At 40.0% G+C, this 26,386-nt stretch overlaps 1 protein-coding gene across 7 annotated transcripts in view; it reads right to left on the reverse strand.

The window, feature by feature from the left end:
- ACVR1 (activin A receptor type 1) overlaps nucleotides 1-26,386 on the reverse strand; it is a 139,885-nt gene that overhangs the window by 48,259 nt on the left and 65,240 nt on the right. For all 7 annotated transcript variants that reach the window (NM_001111067.4, NM_001347665.1, NM_001347664.1 and 4 more), the window contains one exon: nucleotides 14,723-14,796. In NM_001111067.4, coding sequence (NP_001104537.1) covers nucleotides 14,723-14,789 — 67 coding nt within the window. In that variant the 5' untranslated portion in view covers nucleotides 14,790-14,796. The remainder of the gene's footprint in view (nucleotides 1-14,722; nucleotides 14,797-26,386) is intronic.

The following is a 26,386-nucleotide window of genomic DNA, read 5'->3' on the forward strand; positions in this document are numbered from 1 at the left end:
GCTGGCTCCACAAACCAGCGGTGCAGGCTGGGAATCCCAGGAGTTCACCATGGCCAGCTCTTTAAAAAGATTTTTCCTGCTCTGTATGATCCTCAGTTCACCACCTGGGCACACCTCCTCCGAGTCTAATGCCGGACTAGCAGAGAGAGAGGCAGACCAAAGAACATCGTGGACTTTTAAAAACTGTCCACAATTTGGTATAATCTTGTACTTCATGGTAAAAGTATTCACATTTATGTTTAAGTGGGACTTTAGCAATCACAACACTGTGGACTTACCTATTCACGCCTGCCCAGTCATGCACTCTGCAATGCTTTAAGGCATTGAAACTGAGTATTACTCTAAATGGTGCACAAAAACCAACATTTCCCACTAATGTCTTTGACATAAAAGACAAATAAGAAAATGCTACAAGTAAACAAACCGGCCCATGGCCATGATTTGTCCTAGAGGGCAGCAAAAGGAACAGGCTGAATTTTTTACAAGTTCACCTCAAAGTAGTACAAATCATAATGCAGAAATTAGACTGTAATTATAAAAGTCCAATAGCTCAAAATTTGTATAGCTAAAAAAGGAACTCAAGTATCCCTGGACTCCTTCCAACACTCTAAACAATTCATTCATTTGAAATGGCAAGCTTATATGAGGTTTATAGATTATAGGAGTCCTTCCATCGTCTCCTAATCCGGGAGCACAGTTTGGCACCTCTCCAGAATTGAAAGCATTTGAGATCTCTGGCATTAAACAAAGGCTTTAAGAAGGATTTTGCAATGCTAGGTATCACTGCCAGCAAGCCAGCTCCTAAGACAGAGACACAAAGGTCCGTCTGGAATGCCTAGTGAGGGGCATTTGATCCTCTGACAAGAGGACAGGCTATACATTCAGGGATAAAATACACCCAGTGCCTAAATAATCTCTCATTATAAAACACTCATTTAGGGAACTCAAATCATTTTTTTTCCTTATCCGAGAGACTGACACCTAGTTGTTGTAAAGCCAAGAAGAAAATGTATTTCAGCAGTTATGGGGGCAAATAGAGGCATTCAAAGAAGATTGCATATAAATTGAATATCAACAACAAAAACTTCCATGATTTTGAACTCCAGATGTATTCTTCCGCCAATGTTCCCTGCCTCAGGAAATGGCATTCCCATTCATTCAGATACACAAGCCTGACTCTCTCGGGCTTCCATCACACTCAAAGTAGAGACCAGTCATTAACCTGGCCTACAACTGCTGGCTGACCTGATCCTTGCATGCTCTTCAGTTTCCTCTTCAGTTACTGGAAGTTCTTAAAAGACCTCTTCTTCCTGCTTAGGGATCTCAGGTCCTTTTAAGTATGGAATTCCTTCCACTTTGAATGCTTATCTCCCTCCAGTCAACACCTCTCCACCTAGTCAGTGCCTTTCTACTGTGCAGATTTCACCTTACATGTTACTTCCTCAGAGAAGCCTTTGTTCACACACCCAGATTTAAAGTAGGAACCCCCCTTTAGCTACAGCCATACTTGTGTCTGCATGGCTGTTGAATGTCACCTTTCCTATAGATTGTAAGCACCATGAGGGTGAGTTGCATCTATTAATACTTTGCTCACCGTTCATTACATACCCCACAACAGCGTCAGTGGTTGGCAGGAGTGCAAGCCTGACGAATATTTGCTTCAGAATGAATTTTCCCTTCACAGAAAGGATTTAGAGGTGGAAAGAGACCTGATGCTGGTTTTCAGAGCAGGCTGAGCCCATAAAGTCTTTAAATGTCAGCACAGATCTTAAGGCAGGGCTTAGTCACCAAGCCGGCATGCCTGAGCAAACCATTTCTTCCTAGAAGAGCTTGCCATACCATCACATCTGTTCACCTACTTGGGCTCACGAATATAGAAGATTAATATTTTGTGGTGTGGTAGGTTTATTGTTTGCTTGTTAATTTGTTAAAAGAACAGGTAAAATACAAGTGTTCCTTAAAAAAATGAGGAACTATTTAATACATTAATAGAACAGCTGGGCTCTGTGGGTGGTCCTTCTCTGGATGGTTGATTTGAGGACTCTGGGCTATGGTGATTAGAATCATCAAAACACAACACATACCTGCAACTCGTCAGCTTGGAGGGGTCAGTGCAGGACTTGGCTGCCTAGTAGAGAAAAAGCTGCCCCTGCTCCTTGCTGTCATTTTTTCCCTGGTCTTTGCTGCCATATTTTATCCCTATCGGTGAAATAATGGCACCTTCAATAGGGAGTGGGGAAGAGAGAATTACATCATCTTCCCCTTCTTGCTCTGCTGAAGGTGATAAGGATTCCTAAGTCATCCTGCACTTGAACTGCTGAAGCTGAGAAAAAAAAAAAAGTGCCATCTGTTTATTTTGTGTCTGGGCTGACTCCTTGTCTCTGAAATAATCCCTGTAAATTAAGCCTATTGCAGCAGCCACACCTTCTATTTAGAAGCCAAAAAACTCAGCCTGTTTTCAAGTGACTAACAAATTAAAGAACACTGTGAGGTAATGACCTAAGACGATATTCGTCTGTCTTTTCCATGCCTTTTATGATTCTCTGAATGTTGCAAAGACTTGGCTTTAACAAATACAGCATATTAAGGAGTTGTTTTAACTCCTTAATACGGGAGAAAATAATGACCCCTTTCTTCATTCTGTCTTCAAACTTCTTGAATCTCTGCTTTGGAGAAACAAAGGATTACAAGGCCTACCGGGAACTGCCTACTGAGGAATACTTTAAAAACCAAAAAATACTGTCTCCTCAGCGTATGTGCCAATGGCCATGTCTAAGTGGAGCTCTAGTTATAGGGAGAGTAACAGAGAGTAGAATAATCTGGAGGAACAGGGAAGAAAGTCCCAGTGAATTGTAAACACTTCAGAAGTCATTCCTTGTTTAGTCTTAGGAGAGAGCCAGGAATGTGGTTCCATCGATTGAATGTCTCAGGCTGGAAGCTCTGTTCGCGCCACAGGAAGAATGGTTGATTCTGAGGAATCACTTTTCGTTGTTTCCCCCACCTCCTCGGGCTAACCAGAGAGTGTATGGCATTTCAGTAAGGGTTTCCTACCTGGGCTCTACACTGAGAATTTTGGTTTTACAGGAAACATTTAACAATGGGCTCTAGATGAGATAGAACAGTGGAGAAAAAGCCAGCAGGTGGCTTTTGTGCTTAGCTCTCCACTTCAATTTCTCTTCTTGCCTCCTACTCTACCTCTCTCTCTGGGATTCATGGACTGGGCCTCCTCCAAGGTTGCCAATCTTAGCTGTGGTTACCATCAGCGAGCCTCCACCACACCCCTACAGCCTTTCTGGAAGCTTTCAAACTACAGAGACAAACCCTTCAAAAGTTAAGCAGGGCTCCAATTTGTTTAACAAGTCTTGAAATGCAGCCTTTAGGCACTGTGACACCCACAGCTAAAGGTGAAAATGTCCTGACTTAGTTAAACTCCCCTTCCCTAGCTCCACAACCTATCCTGCCCCACAGAAAAGCACAGAGTGAACAAAGTAACTTCCAGACTACAGTAGTCCCCACTTATCCCCCCTTATGCACCGTTTCACTTTCCACTATTTCGGTTACCTACCATCAACCACAGTCCAAAAATATTAAGCAAAAAATTCCAGAAATGAACATTTCCTAAGTTCTAAGTTATATGCTGTTTGAGTAGCATGATGGAATCTCACGTTGTCCAGCTCCATCCTGCCCAGGACATGAATCATCCATTTGTCCAGCGTACCCACACTGTAGATGCTACCATCCTGCTAGTCACTGAGCAGATGTCTTGGTTACCAGATCCACTGCCATGGTATTGCAGGTGCGTTCAAGGAACCCTTCCTTTACTTAATAACTGCCCCAAAGCACAAGAGTGGTGATGCCAGCCTATTGTTATAATTGTTCTATTTTACTTTGCTATTGTTGTTAATCTCTTCCTGTGCCTAATTTATAAATTAAACTTTATCCTAGACATAGGAAAAGATGTAGTATAGATAAGGTTCAATACTATCTGTGGTTTCAGGCATCCACCGGGGGTCTTGGAATGTATTCCCCATGGATAAATAGGGGGTTACTGTATTTACTTTCCATCCTAGATGAAGCCAAAGCGATTTTAAAATAACAGTCAAAAGGGTAAAAACTTGGGGCAGAGTCCAAGCCTCTGATAATGCTACTTCCCTATCCTCCAATTTCCCCATTCATTTCCCAAGGCCCTACCAAGTCCAGAACTCCATGAAAGGTTAATGAAGAAAGGAATCCCATGTCTTCAACCCCAGGAAGATGTGCCTGTGCCTCTGTATCCCAGCCTTTATAACTTGATCTTTGCTTTACATATCTTCTTTCCCCTATCAGTCTAATTAATATAGTCCAAAACAATTCATTAATTCTCAGGTTTAACATATTGAACAAGATTGGCTTATCAGTCACAGAATAAAGATCTTACAGTCACAATGAGACAGTTAAATTTGAGTCATTTTGAGCTTGTCCTTTTTTACCCCTGGGCCCACAGAAAGGCTCCAGGTGCCTACACTCCAGGTAGAAACAGAAAGCATCTCATTTGAGTGCTGTGAAGCTGAACTGGCTTTTCAAACACACAATCCCTCCCCTTCAATCTGTGCCATGGCAAACCATTCCCAGTTTCCACAATAATCTTGGACTTTGGCAGAAGAAAGCCAGCTAAATCTGAGATGTGTCACGAGGCCACTGGCTGGGGAGCAAGAATATCTAAACACAAATCCAGGCGAGAGCAACAAACAAGAGTTTCCGCAGATTCCCTCTGGCTCCTGTAGCTGCAGATCACTGACAGCCTAAAGATAACCCAAGTATCTACAAAGGGTCACTTTTAAATAGTAGCTTTAATGCCACCAGTCATTTCAGAAGCATTTCCTTCCAGAGCCTGCTTCCATCCACACTGGCCACCAAGTCTGTCCAACAATGGCAAGCTTACTGAGGAGATTAAAGTCCAGAAGGAAATGGAAGAAATCCCAAAAGGGAACAGACAGCTCCTGACATGCTGGGATTCTATTCTGTGATTGTACTTGTGCCAATATTTGGACTACTGAGAAATAATAATCTAGCAAAGAGACACCTTGTAGAAATGACTAACAATCACTAGGGATTAAAGAGCAGGTATAAAATGAAACAAAATAGTTTAACTCCAAAACTTTCTAAAGCTGAGGCTGTATAAACCATGGATGGCTACCACTAGGAGACTTTTAGGAAAGCCTTTCTCTCAAAGAGAAAACTTACTTAGTTTACTGAACTGCTGTAAGGAGAACAATATGAAGTCTTCAGGCACATACTGTACATACGTAGCCAGTGTGGCCACCCACTAACCACAGAAGCACCAAATGGAACTGCTCAGAAGCCTGCTGCTTTTTTTTTCTTCCTTTTAAGTAGGGCCAAAGTTCCCAAGATCTTCCTCAGACCATTAAAATCTGCTCAGCACCTCACCTGTCTACTAAGTAAGTCCACATTGTCCTAAATGGCAGTCGGCCAGGGGCTGGTGTACAAGGGACAGGTGCTCAGTGGGCTTTTTTCAGTTGCTGTCAGCTCAGTCAGGAGCTGCACATGCTCAGTAGGCAGGCAAGTTTTGGTTCCGTTTCGAACTCTGGGCAGCCAAGAGACATACACCTTCACAGCTGCCAGGGCAACCAGCTGCCCAGTGCTCCTCCCAAGATGGGAGCAATGAAAACAGTGTAACCTGGCCAGCCAACATGCCAGTGAGCAAGCTGTACCTCTCATTTCACTGCCTGGGTTATTCTGAGCTGGGCTTATTGACACTCCATGGCAACACAGGAACAAAGGGCCAGCTAGAGGGATTTAAATGTCCTGCAAAAGTTGTTAGAAAAGTCAGCAGCTCTGGCTTCTGCTTTCATAATAAAACTAGCAATAGCATTATTATTAGATTATTGTTGTTTTGTCACTGTTAATATCATTTGTGAGCCACCTGTAACAGTTCTACGTTCGCACTAAGGCTTTGTTTTTGTTTTGTTTGCCACCATTTAGTTGCTACAGTTGGGATGCCTTTGAAAATGGAGTATGTGTGCCTGCCTGTCCCTAAACTGCAGGAGGATTAGTTTTTCCCATCCCTTTACTTCTCATCTTGCCACACTCTATGATCCACTTTCACCACACACCACTCTTTCAAAACACAAACTGCACCTACTTAATCTCTCCACAGTTCTCCATTGCCTTCAGGATAGAAGACAAACACCTTAGCATAAGGCTCTGCCATGCCTGCAGGGCTCAACTCTCAACCTTAATTCCGTCTCATGACATGGTGACCGCTCATGATCTCATGATCTCACGTCTCTGGACTTCACCCTTCCCCTGCCTGCAATGTCCTTCTTAGTCCCTCCTCGGCTGGTCTAATGGCTACTTATCCTTCAAAACTTAGCTTCCCTGCATCACCAGCCCCAAACCCAGCTCCATGTGGAATGCAGGCCTTTCCTGTCCATACGCCTCATGCTATGCTGTGACCTTTGCTGTATCCAACTGGACTATGACTTCTTGAAGCAGGAACCACTTCTTGCTTATGTTTACGTCACCAATGCCTACCAGTGTTGTCAACTGGTACTCCTGTTTAAATTGACTAAAAGAACATAAGTTTGTCTTATAACTGATTCACTTTTCCCAAACTCATAATAAATTATTTGAAAGAGTGCATGTGATCAGCCCAGATCAGTCCCACTGTCTCTTATTATCTTTTCTCTAATACCATAATTATTATTCTAGCCAACATTATTTATTCATTTGTCAAATATTTATTGAGCACCAACTGCACACCAGGTAATGTCTTAGACACTAGGGATAAAACAATGAATACCTCCACATTCTGGCCTCTCACGCTCTAGGGCTCACTGTGTGCCGGGCACTCGGCATGTAGTCTCATGACTCCTCCCAACAAGGTGGGTACCGTTATTGTTTCCATCGTACCAGGTGGCAACAAGCACAGAGAGGCGAAGGAGAATATACGCAAAGACATAGTGAAACAGAGGATGACTAACGGTGGTGTTTTGGCCTTGTCTCTTTCCTGAGAAAGGCTTGATTCCTATGCATGGCCAAAGCCTTCCTTTCAGAACACATTCTTTGACTCTGACCATCAATACTATGTCAAACATGATCCTAACCCTCTGCAAAACTGAAATTTGAAGCATATGAACTGGGACGTGAAGTTAAGGATAAAAAGAAGTCATTACTGTAACTCTACATGGCATGCTACAGTATTATATATATCAGAGAAGTCAAATTCTAAACTGGACTGTTGGTAATTTTTTTTCTACCCATTCTTTGTAACTTTTCTGAATGAATCTGTTTTGCTGTTGTTTTTCAACTAAAACTAATTTGGTGTAGGTACCATAATTCAGAAGACAAAACAAATGCAGCAAGAAATAAAACGAAGGAGTCATCCCCACCCCAATCCCCCAAATCACCAATTTAAAAAATACTGGCAGGTTTTTTTTTTTAAGGTGAATGTCACCATCATGTGCCCAAGAGGAATTTCTCATTCTTCCTTTTATTGTTTCTCTCCTTCCCACAACTCTCCTCCCCACATCCCATATACATATTCTCAGCAAAGTCCATGTTCTGTTCTAGCCCGTAACAAAGAATTAGATGTAGCATTAACCATGGCTCTAGGAAACACCCTGCTTGCAGGGCTCAGATTCAGCTGATGAGAATCAGGCCACAGCTGCTCCAGTGTTATGACCCAGGCTGAGAAGGTGCAAATGTAAACTTCCCTCTTCCTCCCAAATCACTGACTTAAAGAGAAAGGATGGTCAGGCTACATGGAGTTGTGAAAAAATAAAAGGTTCTAGACCAGCTTTGTTGAGGAATACACCAGATGACCTATGGTCAGGTGTCAGAGCTGTCACATGAGGGCAGTAGGAACACCTGCACAGTGAACCCTTGAAGCAGACTGGTGTTGTCTTTTTTAATTTCAATATGGGGTATGACCCACTATTGGGTAGCAAAATCAACTCAGTAGTTTAAGACAAGGTTTCTTTCTGTCTTTTCAAGTGAAATAAAACTGAATAAAATTTAAAAAGACAAGAAATAGGTGCACATTAAACATAGTAAGAGTAATTACTGTTTCATGAAATTTTCATTTCAGATGTGTGTGGGCACTATCTATGCAGTGGGTCTTACTCCAAAATGTTTCTTGCTGTGAGTCACAGTCAAAAGTTTGAAAGCCACCTCGCCTGTGTCTTACACTATCTTGGAATGACATGAGTTCTGAGTCACTATGGCTATTAGGAATAAACATTCTGTATGGAATCTTGCCTGAGTTCATCCCGGGCTGCAGAGGAAAGTTCCGCAGGACAGTTTGCAGTGTTTTAAGAGTTACAAATTAATTTTTAAGTGTGTTTTATTTTCCTTGGTGTTTTCAAGAGTGAAAGTGGCATATATGACATGCCTACAAACCTTCTGCTTTACAAGTTTTTCCATAAAGAGGAGATGGCATTCATCCTCTCACTCTGGAGACCTGTCTTTATAAAAGAGAACACTTAGAAGTGACTGCACTGCACACTGTTGACCACAAGGAAATCATTTCATGAGCTTAGGTGTTGAATTTGTTTTCTCATCTGTTCAATATTTGACTTTCTTTGAATGAATTTTTAGCATCCTCCCACACCCTACTGCTATCCATACCCCTCTTATACTGTCCACTAAAAAAAAAACAAGAAAGAAAAGAATGTGGCACTAGTTTAACTACTCATGGCTGAAACAAACACTTCCCAGGAAGGAAAGGCTAAAAGGATGCTTTGTCACAGCTCACCTTGCATCAACTAGTATAGGATCATTTTGTAAAATAAGAAAACTTGATAATAAAGAAGCAGTGTCTTAAAAGTATGATGCTTCATCAGATATTTACATTCTAGGTCCCAGTAGTAGCAAATGCCTTAGTATGTCATCCCTTTCCCTAAAAACATCTTCCGTTTGATGATATGCCAAAGAAAAAGATTTTATTCTGAACAAGAGATACAAATGTAATACTAAGAAGAAGAAGAAACAAATGTAATACTAAGACATTTCTCTTCCATTCATTCACCCCTTCAAGAACTTCCTGAATCCCTAATAATGAGAAAATCAAAGAAAGGCTTATTCTATTCTTCCCCCCAGCAGCAAAGAGGGGCACCTTTGTAACCCTAACAAAAAGTCCATTGAAGTTATCTCCTTCCTTCCATCATTGGGTAGTGGGGCTGGAAAGTCTGAGTAGTGATGGCTTTGTAAATACTAAAATCAAGATAACTCAGAAAATAATTTAGTACCTAGCAGTCTTCTCTAGAACAGGCCGAAATCTCTTGCGAAAAAATTCTGCATAAGTCTGGCCTTCCTGGCTATAATAAAATCTAACTGTGGCTTACAAATTTAATAAAATGTGGGTCGTCTCAGCTTTGAAATATTTCCAAAGGAGCAATATTCCCTTTAAAGTAATTGTGTCATAGTCTTCACCTGCAAATGTGTACAGGGACAAAAGAAAAGCCAAACATGGAGGTTCTGCCTTCACCCTGGTGGTATAATAGTAGTATTAGAGCATGATTAGTCTTATTAATGGGAAGGAAAGGGAAGGATATACAGGTAATTAGGACTCAAGTGCTCTTCTCTATGAGAGCAAATAAAACTCTTCCTGCAGCTAGAGTTGTATATATAATGAACATGAAAAATGATTACTGGTAGGAGAGACAAGAAAAGTAAGAAACACAACCCCAGGTGAAGGGGCCTCATCATTTGCTATTACAAACTCTCTTCTCACGCTCTCAAACAGACTGGATCGAGCTGGATTCTAGCATGCACCAGACATAATATGAATGTGGATGTAGCTAATTTAGGGCAAAAAAAAATGAAAAATTTTGAAGAGGACTGATAATGACTGGAGCTCTTGAACACCATTCCTCAAAGTATATGATGCCTTTTGTTGGCTGTGTAACCTTAAGCAAGAGCTTTAACTAATCCAAAAGCACATCCAAAAACAATGTATCTTATGAGGGCACTTGTGAGGATTATAGGAAATTATGCATGAAAGCTAGCCCAATATCTGGTGCATTTTAAGCACTCATTAAATATTACCTATAATCATCAAACAGGCCATTATATTGGAAAGCATTTTCCAAATATAAGTGGTGAAAAAATCTTTTATTGCCCAGAGCATTTAGGATTCCATAGAACTTGAGAAATGTTCTGAAGTACACTCAAACTCTACCAAAAAAAAAAAAATCACTGTTTAGAACTAATATTTGAAATGTTACCACTATTTCTAATCAATATTTATTAGACATTTCGGAGACAAAGGGGTAAAAGTTTTTTTTTTTTAAATAGACTAAGAAGAGTACACTACCCAACAAAATGTATTAGAACAAAATCTCTATGACTCTCTTATTTATGTCCCAAGAATGTGATCTAGCTTCATTACAGCACAATTAATAGGATGCCTATCTGTTCTACAAACATCAAATATGGGTCTATTTCCTTTTAAACGCAGTCGTCTAAAGCTTGCTCAGCAGTAGACAAGCTACACTGCTATTACAGATTTCTGTTATCGGCCCCATTATTTATCTCTTTTGGATTAAGTATTAGTACTTAACATTTGCTTTTTAACCAAGGTTGAGGATACTAGAGTGTATTATAAATAGGGTTTCTCTTTGGTTTTTAAAATTTTCCTACTAAATATATAAAAACAAAATGCCTTCCATAGAACACACACACACACACACACACACACACACACACACACACACACACACACAAACACAATAGGGAGTTGAGTCACAGAGGAAAGACGGCACTAAGGCAACTGCTATTATGATTAGAGTATGCTAGGCTATAGCACTCACTGGATATTCCATTTTTTTAAAAAAACAGCAATTGCAATTAAAGTATGATATGCTCTTTTCCATACTTGTAAACATCCTAATGGTGGTGGTATATTAAATAGCAAAACCTTAAGGGTCGATCTATTTCCATTTCCATTTCAGCCTAAACTAACTTTTACATGTTTTACATGTCTTCACTGTGGCATTAAGAGGTTATTTCAGCTTAAGAGCTGAAAGCAGGATTAAAAAAAAACAACCAACGGCATGGTTATTAGCATTGCTCCATAACTGCCCTTTTTCCGCCCCACTCTTTTCCCCATTCTCTCTCTACCTCTCCTTCTCTCCTCATACTACATTTCCACTTCTTTGTCTCTTCTCTCTTTTTTCATACCTTGCCTACATCACAGGTCCACCCATGATATCATCTGAACTGCCCCATACCACAGAGGCAGAGTGTGGTGGCTCACGCCTGTAATCCCAGCACACTGGGAGATAGAGGTGGGCGGACTGCTTGAGCCCAGGAGTTGGACACCAGCCTAGGCAACACAGTGAGACCCCAGCTCTACAAAAAATACAAAAGTTAGCCAGGCATGGTTCCCTGCCTGTGGTCCCAGCTACTTGGGAGGCTGAGACAGGAGGAATGCTTGAGCCCAGGAGGTTGAGACCACAGTAAGCCAGGATCGTGCCACTGCACTCCAGCCCTGGTGACAGAGTGAGACTCTGCCTCAAAAAAAAAAAAAAAAAATTAAAAGGCAAAATATCATACAGAATCGATAGCCGGCCAAGGTGGCTCAAGCCTATAATCTCAGCACTTTGGGAGGCCGAGGTGGGTGGATCACTTGAGCTCAGGAGTCGGAGACCAGCCTGGGCAACACGGCAAAACTCTGTCTCTACTAAAAATGCAAAACAATTAGCTAGTTGTGGTGGCACAAGCCTGTGGTCCCAGCTACTCAGGAGGCTGACGTAGGAGGATCACTTGAGCCTGGGAGGAGAAGGTTGCAGTGAGCTGATATCACACCATTGCACCCCAACCTGGGTGAAAGAGACCCCGTTTCAAACAACAACAACAACAAAACCGTAACAACAAAAATATCATATAGAATTGATATGGTAACTAAGGAAGGCAGTGAAATTTGGAGGGACTTTAGTTCTCAATATTCCTTAGATTTTTAAATAATAATCATTATTTACCAATTTAAAAGAGGTAAAAAAAAAAAAAGTCCTAGAAACTTGACTGTTAGAAATGTCTCCAGCAATTATCAAGTATCCCCTGGGGGATAAAACTACCCCAATTGAAAAATCACTGTTAACTCACCAAATCCTCCCAGCTTTAATATAAGCCCATTTCCTCGTATTAATTCCTTCAACATTGCCACTCAGGATCCCTTCCCCATACCTTCTTGGCACTAACTGACACAACTGCCATATTATGGGAATATCTTTAACAACACTGCTTAGAGTGGAATATAAACTAGATATCTAAAATGGTCTATAACAGCACTGGCCAACAGAAACAAAATGTGAGCCACCTAATGTAATTTAAGTTTTATCACAGCAGTAGGAAAAAACAGGTGAAATTTACATTTTTATTGTCTTCAAAATCCAGCTTGTATCTTACATTTACAGCATATTTCCACTCATATTAGCCACATTTCAAATGCTATATGTGACTATCAGCTACCATATAGGACAATGGAGAAGTATAATATATGTCATTAAGTATGAGAAGGAGATAGGAACAGATCAAATATTATGAACCTAATATATAATGAAATAGATGTATAATATTCTAAGTACTGATTTTTTCACATTGTTGGCTATACTAACTTGTCAAATTATATGCCTCCTTGGAAACTCATCATTTATATAAAGAAGACCATACCCCAAAGAACCTGTAACAAGGGCATTAGTCTTACTGTCCCATCTGATCATAAAGAGGTTGAGATTCCTACAATAAGCACCACTCTTCATGGAGGAACACTTGTAAAATAAAGTGGGCACTGCTCAATGTGCAATAGAGTAGAGTTTAGGCTTTCTCTATCTAGAAAGATATATAACAACATGTTAAAAGCAATTACATGTAAGTGAAGGGAATGATGAGTAACTTTTACTATCTTTCTCTCTTGATTATCTATTTTGTCCTTTTCAACAAGGGCAGGACCATCCCTGAGCAACTTTTTGGAAATGAGGGGATGGGAAAGTGAGTAATGAAAGTAAGTAAGCAAGGGTCAGAGATGCCAAAGGCACTGAAATGCCTGGGTGGTGCCACACAACTAAGAATTAGACTCCTAGGGCCTGAATGTTTGTGTCTCCCCAAAATTCATGCGAGTATCTTAACTGCCAAGGTGAGGGTATTAGGGCAGACCCCTCAGGATTGGGATTTGTGCTGATATAAAAGAGATCCCAGAGGGCTAGCTAGCCCCTTCTACCATGAGACAACACAGAGAAGGTGCCGTCTATGAGGAACGAGCCCTTACCAGACACTGAATCTGCCAGCACCTTGAACTTAGACTTCCCAGCCTCCAGGACTGTGAGAAATAAATGTTTAGTTTTTGATCCACCCAGTTTCTGGTATTTTTGTTGTAACATCCCAAATAGGCCAAGACATGGCCGTTGCACTACAAGTATCAACTATCCCACCGAGCATTCATTTTCATGAATAATCTTTGTAGAATTGAAACCAGCACCTAACCCTGTCATACATAAAAACACAAAGTATGTATGTCTTACACTGCCTTCATGTATACTAAATATTCCAAACATATAACTAGTATATAAATCAAGGGCCAACGGTTCTGGTTTTTTTTAATTCTACCAAAATCTGTTCACCAATTCAGAAAATTCAATCACTGAAGGTAAGAGACCACTTATGACAACTAAGCCACCAATATAACACACCAGTACCAATCTATTTTCGAAGATGTTGAAGATTATTACCTATATAGGTGCAAGCATGTATTACTTCATCATGTCTTCTTGTAGACTCATGCCCAACTACACCATAATATATCACATTTGGGCTTTTTTGGAGGGGGTGGGGGGTGGGGGTTTGAGATGGAATCTTGCTCTGTTGCCCAGGCTGGAGTGCAGTGGTGTGATTTCAGCTCACTGCAACCTCCGCCTCCCAGGTTCAAGCGATCCTCCCACCTCAGCCTCCCAAGTATCTGGGATTACAGGTACACACCACCACACCCAACTAATTTTTGTATTTTTAGTAGAGATGGGGTTTCACCATGTTGGCCAGGTTGGTCTCGAACTCTTGACCTCAAGTGATCCACCTGCATTGGCCTCCAAAAGTGCTGGGATTACAGGCATGAGCCACGGCACCCAGCCTCGCATTTGTTTAAACACATGTTTTATTGTTAATTACAGAATTTTCTCTTATTTCTCCTTTATATTTTTATTTATTTATTTATTTTTGAGACAGAGTCTCGCTCTGTTGCCCGGGCTGGAGTTCAATGTCGTGATCTTGGCTCACTACAACCTCCGCCTCCCAGATTCAAGCAATTCTCCTGCCTCAGCCTCCCAAGTAGCTGGGATTACAGGTGCCCGCCACCATGCCTGGCTAATTTTTGCATTTTTAGTAGAGACAGGGTTTCACCATGTTGTCTGGCTGATCTCGAACTCCTGACCTCAGGTGATCCACCTGCCTCGACCTCCCAAAGTGCTGGGATTACAGGCGTGAGGCACCATGCTTGGCCCTATATTTATTTTAAGTAGAAAATTAGGTTGAATTTTTTAAAAAAATAGGTGTATGTAAATATTCAGATATAATGTATATAAGAATTTCCTTCAAAATAGTCAATAATCACCAAATATTTATTATAAAAAGAGTGTTTTAAGTTTGATAGGCTTAAGAAGTAGTTTATAGTAAGCCAAAAAAAAAAATCACAGTATACTTATCTTAACCCAAAAAGATGTGAGTCACTTACCTTCCATACTAGGGGAGGGGAGAGCAATCATGATAAGCACAGGAAGAATCATCACTCCATCTACCATTGTACAACTGTAAAGGGAAAAGAAGAGATGTAAGTAAAGCATAAATATCTAACTGCAGGAAGACAAATTAAGCATACCACCTTCAAACTGCCATTCAAGGCCCTTCTTACTAATCACCCTCAGATATATTGCCTTACTTCTTACTACATTTAAACACATACCTTTTATGTGGACCTAAACATATCACTTTAAAGAGTTAGTCATATTCACTTCTAACTGGTAGTCACTCCAAGGATAGTTTCTAAGTCTACTCTCTTACAAAGAAATCAATAAGGAAACAAAAAATTTTCAGCTACAAAGTGAGGCAGTCCCAAAAGATTTTAGGTTTGAATTTTATCTTACCCCATTGAATGCAAAATTGGTACTAAATTAAAAAACCTGAGAAGCATGAATAGACTATTTTAACATGATGTTAAGGATTAAACGACTGAATAATTCAAGCCAAATTACTATGTTAGAGTCTTACTTCTCCTTTAAAAGGACTGGAGGCAGAGCAACCTACATCAACATACAGACCTACAGCAAAAACAAAGAACAAAAAAATACAAACTTTTACCCCATCTAAGGCAAAGCAATGCATTTCTGCATTAAACAAATTTAACAAGGATAGACAACAACTAAAATCATGTAAAAATAAAAACAAACTTTTCCATTTGAATAATGTGAAACATCAGGAATGTGATGGGAGTTTGGTTAGTTGCAATTTTCTGGATGGTAAAATAAACAAAAAGCTGGTAAAGTTCTTTAATGATAGGTTAGTGTGCTTGTACTCTTTCAGCTTTAAAGCAAAGAGTGGAAGCCCATTGCTATCTAGCATGTCTGGAGTGTTGACCTTTAAAATCAAATTATTTAGGCTGGGTGCGGTGGCTCACAGCTGTAATCCCAGTACTTTCGGAGGCCGAGGTGGGATGATCACTTGAGCCCAGGAGTTTGAGACCAGCCTGGGCAACACAGTGAGACCCCATCTCTATTTGTTTTTAATTATTTTTAAAATTAAAAAAAAATCAATTTTTTTGGCTGGCGGTCTGTTTACAAACCATACCTCCATCATATCTTACCACCCTTCACTTAAATTTATTTCTCTTTGGTTCCATAATTATAGTTCAGTCAATCCCTTTCCTAAAAGCAAGGTAAGGGAGGAGGTAAAGGGGATTTTTATTTACCTTCCTTTTCTATTTTTAAAAGCATATGAAACTTGAGGAAGATCCTACTACTGTTGTTGTTTTTATTATTTCCATGTTCACATAGATCTTTCCTATAGTGGATCCTTTTGGGGATATACAAATCCTTCATCTTGGCCCCTCACAACCAGAATGTGACTCCTCCAACACATCTCTGTACCTTTGGACATGAATATGCTTTTTGTTCCCCTCTGCTTGAACTGCCCTGAGCCCCCTCCTCCACCCCTCTCCAACCCCATTGCCTCCTCCTGTCATACATGATTCCGGCTCAAAGGTAAGCCCTTGGTGAAAAACCTCTCCCTCAGCAGTGATATCAGCCCCCGGCATGGAATCATAATCATCTGTCTAGGGCAGTCTCCAGCACTGGTCCACTCATCTCCAAAACAGGTATGCACATCCAAGGACCAAGCAAGGGTCATTCATTGAGCTATGGAATGAAATTATTAAACTGTTTTTTCATAAGAATGTTTTAATCTAATAAAGTAGAAAATAACTTGAGACTTAATCTGGTCTCTATCTCAGTTCTCTATGACAGTCTAGTACAGGAGGTATCTTTCAGAAAGACTAGGAGTTACATAATGTTAGCGTGGACATGATTTATTTACAGAGTACAACCATGTACTTGTAGTTCTGAAGGTCCGTTCAAGTGGAATTACAGGTTATATTGGCTACTTACAGTGAAATGAGCCTTCCCAAATGACAAGTGTTCTAAAACCATTACAGAAACTAGAGATTGCACATATTATTAATGCAAGCACCAAAGAAGAGTAAGAAAACAGTAGACTTAACATCGCTTATTTCTACTGGTTCTTCCTTAACCACTTTACTAGAGAAAAGTAGTAATATTCAGTTCAATCTGACATGAAACAATCTCCCCAAATTCAAAATTTGAAAATATTTGAAAAACGGATTTGCAACTACTGTCATAGATAGTAAACATTATCCTGAGTGGCTTGAGACTTTCATTGATGATAGTATGATTCCACTGCCATTAGCAACACCTTAAATATTTTATCCTTATTTAATTGCTATTTTATGTATGTTTTATAATATGTACTTATTTATTTTATATAAAATGTATGGCCAATTTACACATTGAGGGTGCATCAGAAAACTTTTTATGGGATATGTCATCACAAACCATTGAAAATTGCTGAACTAAACTATTTCTTATCTCAGTCTTATCTGAATTCCCAGTCCTTCATTAATGCATTCATGCATTCAAGAACTACTCAAAACCTACTATGTGCTACATATTAGGAACCTAAAATAGTAAATATAAACAGGGTCCTTGCTATCGTGGCACTTACAAGATATGTCTATGGTGGTAATCAAATAATCATCCAAGATTCCATAATTAAAAACTGAATAAGAGTTGGGAAGAAACATAGTTAAAATAACTGTGTTAACAAAACAACTTGAGACTTTCTGGAGGGTGCAGAGGTTCCCTGGGGAGGTAACATCTGAAAAGAATCAGGAATCAGAAGGATGAGTAGAGGTACTAGGAAAAGGGTAAGTGTGTTGGGAGGTGTGGTGGGAGAGGGTGAATACAGGACACAGATAGGGTAATATTTAAGGGAAAAGGCACTTCTATTGAGGTGCCTGTGGCCAGAGCAAGCATGGTGTGTCCTGAGGACTTAGGGCAAACCTCAGGATTGAAAAAACGCAAGAATGGCCAGGACACAAAGGGTCTGGAAGAGTCACAAAGAGTCGGCGAATACCCAAGAAGGCTAGAGAGGAAGGCAAAGGTCAGAACGGAGGTAAGGCACTCTAGGCACTCTACTCACCTATCTTCATTGCCCCCTTGGCTCTCACCATCATTCCATAGTTCCTCAGTCCCCACTACCCATTATTATCACCCCCACCAGCCACTTTCTGTCTATCTCTGGACATCTGTACGTGATGCTCCCTATGATTGGGCCCTTCTTTCAGGGCCCAACCTACTGAATTCCTACTCATCCCGTAAGTCTCAATGGCTTCTCTAAAGGCTACCACCTTCTAGAAGCCTGTCTAAACCCTTAAGTACTCTCTGCTCATTCTCATAGATCACTTTAAGTTTCACTCATACAAATCATCCTAATTAATAATTATGTATTCATAACTGTGTGTGCTTTTGAACATCTGTCTCTGTCACTAGACTGTGAATTCCACGGGAGGAAAATCTATAGTCTATCTTGTTCATCACTGCCAGAGCCAAGTAGGTGCACATTTAATAACAGTTTAATTAGAATTTTTCCTGAATTAATCAACTCAATTTAAGTTTAAATTCTAAAGAATTAGTAGCATCCCTTCCCCACCATGCACACAGACACACACAGAGAGACCTGCAAAGGAATGGCAAGATTAAGAGATTTATCATCTCTATAACTTTAATCTGTAGAATTTAGCTCAAGTAATAGTAAAAGTCAACAGTTAACAAGCTTCAAATCAAGACTCCTTTTACTATTAAAAAAAAAAATCTAAGAAACAATCACCACTGGCATATTTTCCACGTCACAAAGCCAGCAAAAGCCCACGTCCCAAATACCTATTAACAGATTATCATTGTGCGAACAAAATTAAAACAATAATTTAGGCTCATAAATAGAAGACAGAAAAAGAATTATAAATTCAGACCCTCAAACAGTAGGGACTAATTCCGTCTCTAGTGTTTAAAGACAGCTCAAAATCTGCCAAAAATCTTTGGGAAAAAAGTCAACTTACTGGTTGCCATTTTGTTCAGGGTCTGCAGTGCTTATCCTGACCAGTAAACTCAGCTATTAAAAACAGCACCCCCAAAAGGAAAGAAAAAAAGAATGTGGAAAGGGGAATGTTCTGGTATTTCCTGACCATATTTCAATTATAAGAAACATCAATACGCTAAAATCTCAACCCGAAGTCCCAAGGATCTATTTTTAATTTTAAAATATACTAAAAAGAAAATTGCATTTTTAAAAGTAAAATTTCAACTCTCCTGCTCTCAAATATTTTTGGCTAAGGAGCGTTCATATGTAAGTTGGCAAGAAAGAGAAACTAGTAGTGGAAAATGGGAGTGGCAATAATTCAATAGTTCTGGGATTGCCTTACTCCAGTATTTTTTAAATGTTTTTGGTCTCAGAATCTCTTTAAACTCTTGAAAATTACTGAGAAGCGTGTGTATGTAGGCTACATCTCTTGATATTTACAGTGTTAAAAATTTAAACAGAATTTTTAAAATATTATATTCATAATAAAATAACAATAACATACTACCTTATTTTTTTTTTATTTTAAAAGAGCTATGATGTATTTTTAAAAAACATGTTATGAGAAAAGTGGCATTGTTTTCCTGCTTTTTAGAAAATCTCTGTTCAATAAAACACAGCTGGATTCTCATATATGATCTACATTCATTCTGTTACAACATGTACTGGCTGAACTATATATAGAAAATCCAGTATCACACATATCATTGGAAGAAGGAGGACCTTGTGAAACCCCTGAGAAAGTCTCAGGCGCCTTTGGAGTTCTTGGACAACACTTCAAGTAACTGCCTTAGTCCTTAAATGCTCAGTCTTTGTACTATATCAGATAACCAGATGGTACCAGATATTTTAGACTGAGCACTTAGCGGATACCTGACAAAAATGACACTGTTCTACAGTTTTAGAAATTTCATTAACCTCTCTAACATCACAGACGTCAACAAGTCCAACAGTCAAGGAAGAAAGCTTTAATTTTTTTTAATGTTGGAATAATATTTTATGAATACAGCTAAATATTTTTGAAATGGGATATAAACTTGTATGAAGGTAGTCATAGCTGCATATCTTGCTTGGGTTCAACTAAATCCTTGTGCAAGGCTGTAATGCCAAAATCTCTAACTGAAAAATCACAGGCTACTGGGGACTGCAAAATATTATCTGAAGGGTTCAGAGTATGAATCCGTGCCTCTCGTGTACGCACATCTCCCTTCTGTTCTTGGATAAGACCGTCTATCCCTGGTAACTGATTTTAGTATGTCAGACACAAGAAAAATCGCTATTCAGAAAATGGTTAGAGACCTCCTGCCTTAACTAAGGTACCCTCTTTAAATCAATACTGTTTCTTACAATGTCTCAGGCCTACTTTCTTAGAAGACAGAACATTCCCATGATATTCTACTAAAAACAGACACATCACCAGGGTAGTACAAAACGACTTTCCAAATCCCATGTTACTTTTCAAATTCCACTTAAAGATCAGACTGTATGTAGTTAAGAAGCTAGCGCTTAGCTCAATTTCTAATGTATGTGGGCTTGAAACCAAGTTTGGCACTTTTTTTGCTCATCACAATTTTACAGCTAGATAAAGCCACAGATACCCCACAATGTACTACCCAAAATTTTACTGTGGTATTGGTCACAGAATAACTGAGAATATAATACACTTCTATATGCAACTTTCAGAACCCATATCAGGCAATCTAAGTGCTAATCTATAATACAGCATGTTTCTGAAAACTAGACTTATGGGTAGCATACAGTTAACTATAATATTGAGGATGAGGGGAAAGTTGTAAGATGAACTCTAAAATTCTTTCCCATTGGAAAATTTGACAAAATGTTCATTTATCTTGCCTGATGGCCTAAACTCATTCTTCAACACATACTTTAGTGAGTACCTTCATTCAATAAGGACATTCCTGATACTCTTCTCAATTCAATTTCTAACAATCTGTGAATTAGAAAGAATCTTGGAAGACAGGTCATACAATCACCCACCCCTATTTTGAATGACTTTTACATCATCCACGTGAAGACACTTTCTAACCTACGCTTGCTCACCATTGGTAAGGGCTCTCACTATGATTCCATCACAGTTTTTTTCTTTATATATCTTTAGGCATTCTGTACTATGCCTTCCATAAGGAAAAAATAATAATTCTCTTTAATATAAAAGGCAGAGGCAATGTGGAAAAATAATTTATGGAATCCTGCTTTTTCTTAGTCTTCTGGGAAGGTAGAAGAAACTTGCCTAAGGACACAGGTCAAACCGCAAACCACCAGATCAGAACATTCAGGTCTTAACCCACCACCACTCTACACAACTTTCACTTAACTAGCTAGCCACAGTTTAGCAATCTTGTTCTGTCATCCTTAACAGTTTTTTGTTTGTTTGTTTGTTTGGGTTTTTTTTTTCTTTTTTCTTTTTTTTTTTTTTTTTTTTTGAGACGAGGTCTTGCTCTGTGGCCCAGGCTGGAGTGCAGTGGGATAACCTCAGCTTACTGCAGCCTCAACCTCCTCGGCTCAAATGATCCTGCTGCCTCAGCCCCTCAAGTAGTGGGGACTACAGGCACATGCCACCATGTCTGACTAATTATTTTTGTATTTTTTGGTAGAGGTGGGGTTTCACCATGTTTCTCAGTCTGGTCTCGAACTCCTGGGCTTAATCAATCCCCCTGCCTCGGCCTCCCAAAGTGCTGGGATTACAGGTGGGAGCTACCATGCTCCGCCATCCTTAACATTTTATTCAAGCCTCAATTCTTCTGAACTTCAACTGAAAATCTTTATTTTCCTCTTAAAGAACAACCTTTACTCATGGTTATTTAATACACCATTCAATCATGCCTTCTTTCCATTTCCCTAACCTTAAACAATTTCATATTACTCTGTGACCCCCAATCATCTCCTCCCTCCCACTGCCCCCAGAAAAGATGTTGATATCATAGAAAAAAACAAGCCTCTTTGATAGTGCATCAGTGGTTTCTAGCCCCCATCCTCCATCCCTACTCTTCAGTTCTCTTGTAAACTCACCCCTCAAAATAAAAACGGAAATTAGTGTAAGGCATATTTAGGGGCAAAGTTAGGCCCAGCAAGGGAAATTGTAGACATGAAACTTTGAAGGAAAATAGACTTACATCAACCACCACGAAGAGGGGCCAAAATCAGCCACTGTAACTGATTAGATAATACAAGAACAGTCATATCTCTTCTATGCTCAAAAGGCAATGAGCTAACCCAAAGGCAGCTTGTGCCAAACTACCTGGGCCTTTGGGAGGAGTGAAATGAGACATGGGCTGTCAGTAATAGCTGCAAAGAAAGGTTAAACCGAAGCTATCATACCATGTAAGTTAAGTCAGGGTCTTTTCTACGGTTCAAAAATGACCTGTTAAATATTTTTAACACCACACTCTGTCGGAACTGGCAATGTGCAAATTGCCAAGGCTTGGTTTTATATAGACTTCACTGCTGCTGGAGGGTTTCTGGCGGGGTGTTACTTTCAGAATATTAGCATGTAATTTGATCTTTCATGATAGATGAATACAAATAGCTTCTTGGACAAGTCCTATAGAACTGAAAACCAGGCCCTGGATCCGTTTATCCTGTAGTTAGAGGAAATAATTATGGATTATTTCAGGAAAGAATGGGTTTTGACTGAGTTACACTATAAACATTCCAGCTGTAACAGATGGACCCTAGATATGGTTTGGGAAGGAAGGGAAGCAAACAATATGATCTGTAAAATGAAAAAAGATGAAAAAAAGATAAGGCTTAATGTGAAAGGAAGTGAAAGGTCTAGCTTAGGCTACTATGTAAGAATCAAAGGCTCCCCAGTAAATTTATTTTAACTGTACACAGAATGAAATTGACTTTGTTACACCCCTTCCAGATATACACAGAATACCTACACTAAATTTCTGAGAATCCAGTGTTTTGATCACTTGCTGCGTGCCTTACTCGTACCTCAAAACTAGGTGTTATTTCACCAGGCTTGACTATATGGAGACTGTCCCTCGTTTTCCACTTCATTCCTTTGTTTCAAATAGCCACGGTCCACCTGCTTTGTTTCAACTGCTAGGACTCCATCATCTCCCTGCTATTTTGCTACATTCTCCAACGCAGCTCACAGCTCACTCCCTATCCCTTGTTTGCAAACTGTGACTGGACCATTTTTTTTTTTTTACCTATTGGTAGGAAAAGCCCCATTATCCCTTCCCATAAAGCTCTTCTAGATATGTAATTCTGAAGTTCATTTCAAATCCCGCTTCTTCCCAAAGTCCTCAGGTAGACACTGTCTCAGTCCTCTGTCTCATTTCTAGCTGTGCCTGACCTGACGTTTCCCCTCTAACCTAACAGTGCAGACCTTTCTTTCCCTCCCATGACTTACAGTGTTAGAAGCACTGCTCATCTGACACAGCTGTCCCAATTCTCAGGCTAATGTGATTAATCTATAATAATTTGGGGGGGGGGGTGGGTATAAGATGAAAGGAATGTCAAGGCCAGAGAGGTACATTTCTCTCTTTCTCTCTCTCTCTCTCTCCCTCTCTCTCTCTGTCTTTACTGAGAGACACTGGAGCACTTTTCTGTGGTAGTGAGAAACACCACCCTTTATACACTGGCCTAACCAAAGCCTTCCGTCTCACTCCCACACTCCAAGCCCATTCCTGTCTCAGACCTTCTCACCCACCCCCATAAACTATATTATCCCACCATATCTTCTTCTTAGCACTTAACAACTAGGTGAGATTTGTCACTTACTTACTAGTTTAAAATAAAATAAATAAATTTTTTATTGTGTTTCTCCCTCTTCCACACACCAAAATGTAAGCAACATGAGAGTAAGAACTCTGCCTGGCTCATGGCTACATACTCATGCTTGGCACCTACCAGGTGCACAATATAAATTAAAACATATTCATTTTAACATCTTAGCCTTGGCTACACTTTGGTGTGGAGAGAGGAAGGTGAAGTTTAAGTTTTATATAGCCTAGCAAGGAAATGGGGGGCAGGGGTGGGTTTGTATGTCCCCAGTTTAATATAGTAGCAAGCAGATATTTGAGATAAATTAAAAGATATCATTTGTAACTTGGATTCCAGTTTTCAAGGGTGTCATCCAAGAGAGGCAGCCAAACAAAAAGACGGCTGGCAGACCTTGGGTGTACCAGACAACTCCCTGGTGGACAATATCCCAGTTGGAAGGGATTGCTTGGATCTCTAGTTGCAGACACCAGCTGATAGGCCCAGAGCCATCCCTAATGACCTCTGAGACAGCGTCTGTCTCTTGAATATACATCTCCTACAAGTCAGAAATTGACATATTATCTCCCCTGAAGGCTTCTAACATTTATTGACGCTATTTGGAAAGCCATGCTTCCATGCCTATTAATAACCTTCAGAGAGAACCCCAAGGAAGTGTCAGGAGAAAAATAGATCCGGCTGATGGAAGCCAAAGACTTGACCAGAGGTAACAGTCAGTAATACATTTAAAAAAAAAAAAAAAAACAGAAAGTAGTAACATTTCTGAATTAGATGTTATCTTTTCAGGAGGCTTCAAACAAAATACTTAGCCAATGAATTACAGCAATGTGAGGCAAGAACCCTGGTCTTTACAAAAAGGAACTCTTGAAAGACCCCTTATCTATTTAAATAGACCAGCAGCAGCAACTAACTTTATCTGCACATCAATTTATTCCAAGGAATTTTGCCTACACGGCTGTTATCATTAAACCTTTCATAGTTATTTTTACAGTTATTTAAACTTTGTAAAGTTTCTCCAAGTCACACATTAAATAGCAACCAGATCAACCTACTCTAAATAATGGAATCACTAATTAACATTAACCTTGGAAAAGAATTCTCTTAGTGGTCTGTCTCCTCTCCCCTCCCCCGAATAGAATGTGATTAATGGAATTCTCTCACAATTTAGCTTGAAATATGCTTTTGCCAGTCAAGCAGCTAAAGCAGAATCAGATAATTGTGGTATGACTCAACAAACACACAGCTGTTCATTTAAATATATCCATCAAAAGTATAAATATGATCATGAGAAAGAAAACGAGCCATGTACCAGGGTCAGTGCACAAGTTGAATGGGTTAGCATCCAAGTAACCACAACAGAAAACAAGGAGGAGACAGGGAGAGGAGGCAGGGAGAGGTTCTGGATGGATACCGGGTGGAGAGAGACTGGAGAACGGATATAACCAAAAAACCACCCACTCGACCAGAAACACTCACTGACCTAAATAAGAAAACAATGTTAAAAGTAAAAATAAATGCACTCTATGAAGTAGGGAGAAAGAATGAAATCTTAAAAATAGGTGATGCGCCCAAGAACACAAAGGTAGAAAGCCGATAGAGTAGAAAATTATGAATTTGATCTGTTATTAAAAATAAAATGCAGTCAGGCACAGTGGTTCATGCTTGTAATCCCAGCACTTTGGGAGGCTGAGGCAGGAGGATCACTTGAGCCCAGGATCTCAAGACCAGCATGGGCAACACAGTGAGACCCCATCTCTACAAAAAATAAAGAAAATTGGCCAAGCGTGTTGGTGTGGGCCTGTAGTCCCAGCTGCTCTGGAGGCTGGGACGACAAGATTACTTGAGCCCAGGAGTTCAAGGTTACACTGAGCTATGATCATGCCACTGTACTCCAGACTAGGTGACACAGTGAGACCCTATCTCTAAAAAATATGTAAAATTAAAACTAAAAATAAAACAAAGACCCCAAGGCAGTGGAAAAGAGGAGAATAGTATTCTCACCTCAGTCCTTGTCCACAACCTTCAAACACTGTGATTATGAAATCATTGTGGAAACGTGGGAATCCTTCCAATAGTCCAAAAGTATAATGACTGAAAAACACCACTCTGTACCAGGCAATCCCTTAAGGAGGTTCTACATATACAAGACTGCCATTTAACATGAGGCAAGGAAATGGAGAAAGAGAAAACTGTAAGAACATGATGGGGGACAGGTGGCAGGGAGGGGTCCCTGTATCCAGTGTGCCAGGCCCCATTCCTTCCTTCTTTCTCAAGGATGGGCCAGAAAGGCCCAATAAGAACTTGAGAAGGAAAGGCACTGAGAAGGCTTTGAGGCCTCTCCTCCCTTAATATGTAATTCAAAATGCTAACAAGTGAAAGAAACATCTAATCCATGATGAACATTTCCAAGCTTTCCCTGAACCATCAAAAATCTCTCTTTCCAAAAAATAATCTCTCTGGCAGTGGGGGGCCTAAGCACATGTGTAGCCAAACTACTCAGTTATCCTGCACTGAAAACCACCCACATCCTTCCCATTTATAGGCAATCTCTCTTACATCATCATAAGCAACAATTTCAACTACCACCACCTCCTCAGCCCCAAGGTCTCCAATATCCACCCTCTTCATCCTTTCACCGAACACTTTCTAGAACAGCAACTACACAGGCTTCCTCCATGTCCCCCATCCAGTCTTCAGTCCACAGTGTTCTGCCTTAGTCAATCCAGTGAAATACCCCTTGTTAAGGTTCTACGTCGTTTTAGTCTTACCTTATCCTTCAGGTTCACAAGGGAGCTTCCTCAAAATATGGATTCCCAAGCCTCACCCCCTAGAGATTTTGATCTGTGACGAGGCCTAGGAATCCCCCACCCTCCAGCAAATCGGGTGATGCTGAGAATGACAAGGAGGTCTCACTCACTGATTATGTAGGATGTGGTGT

This window comes from Homo sapiens, chromosome 2 (genome assembly GCF_000001405.40).
Source record: "Homo sapiens chromosome 2, GRCh38.p14 Primary Assembly".
NCBI lineage: Eukaryota > Metazoa > Chordata > Mammalia > Primates > Hominidae > Homo > Homo sapiens.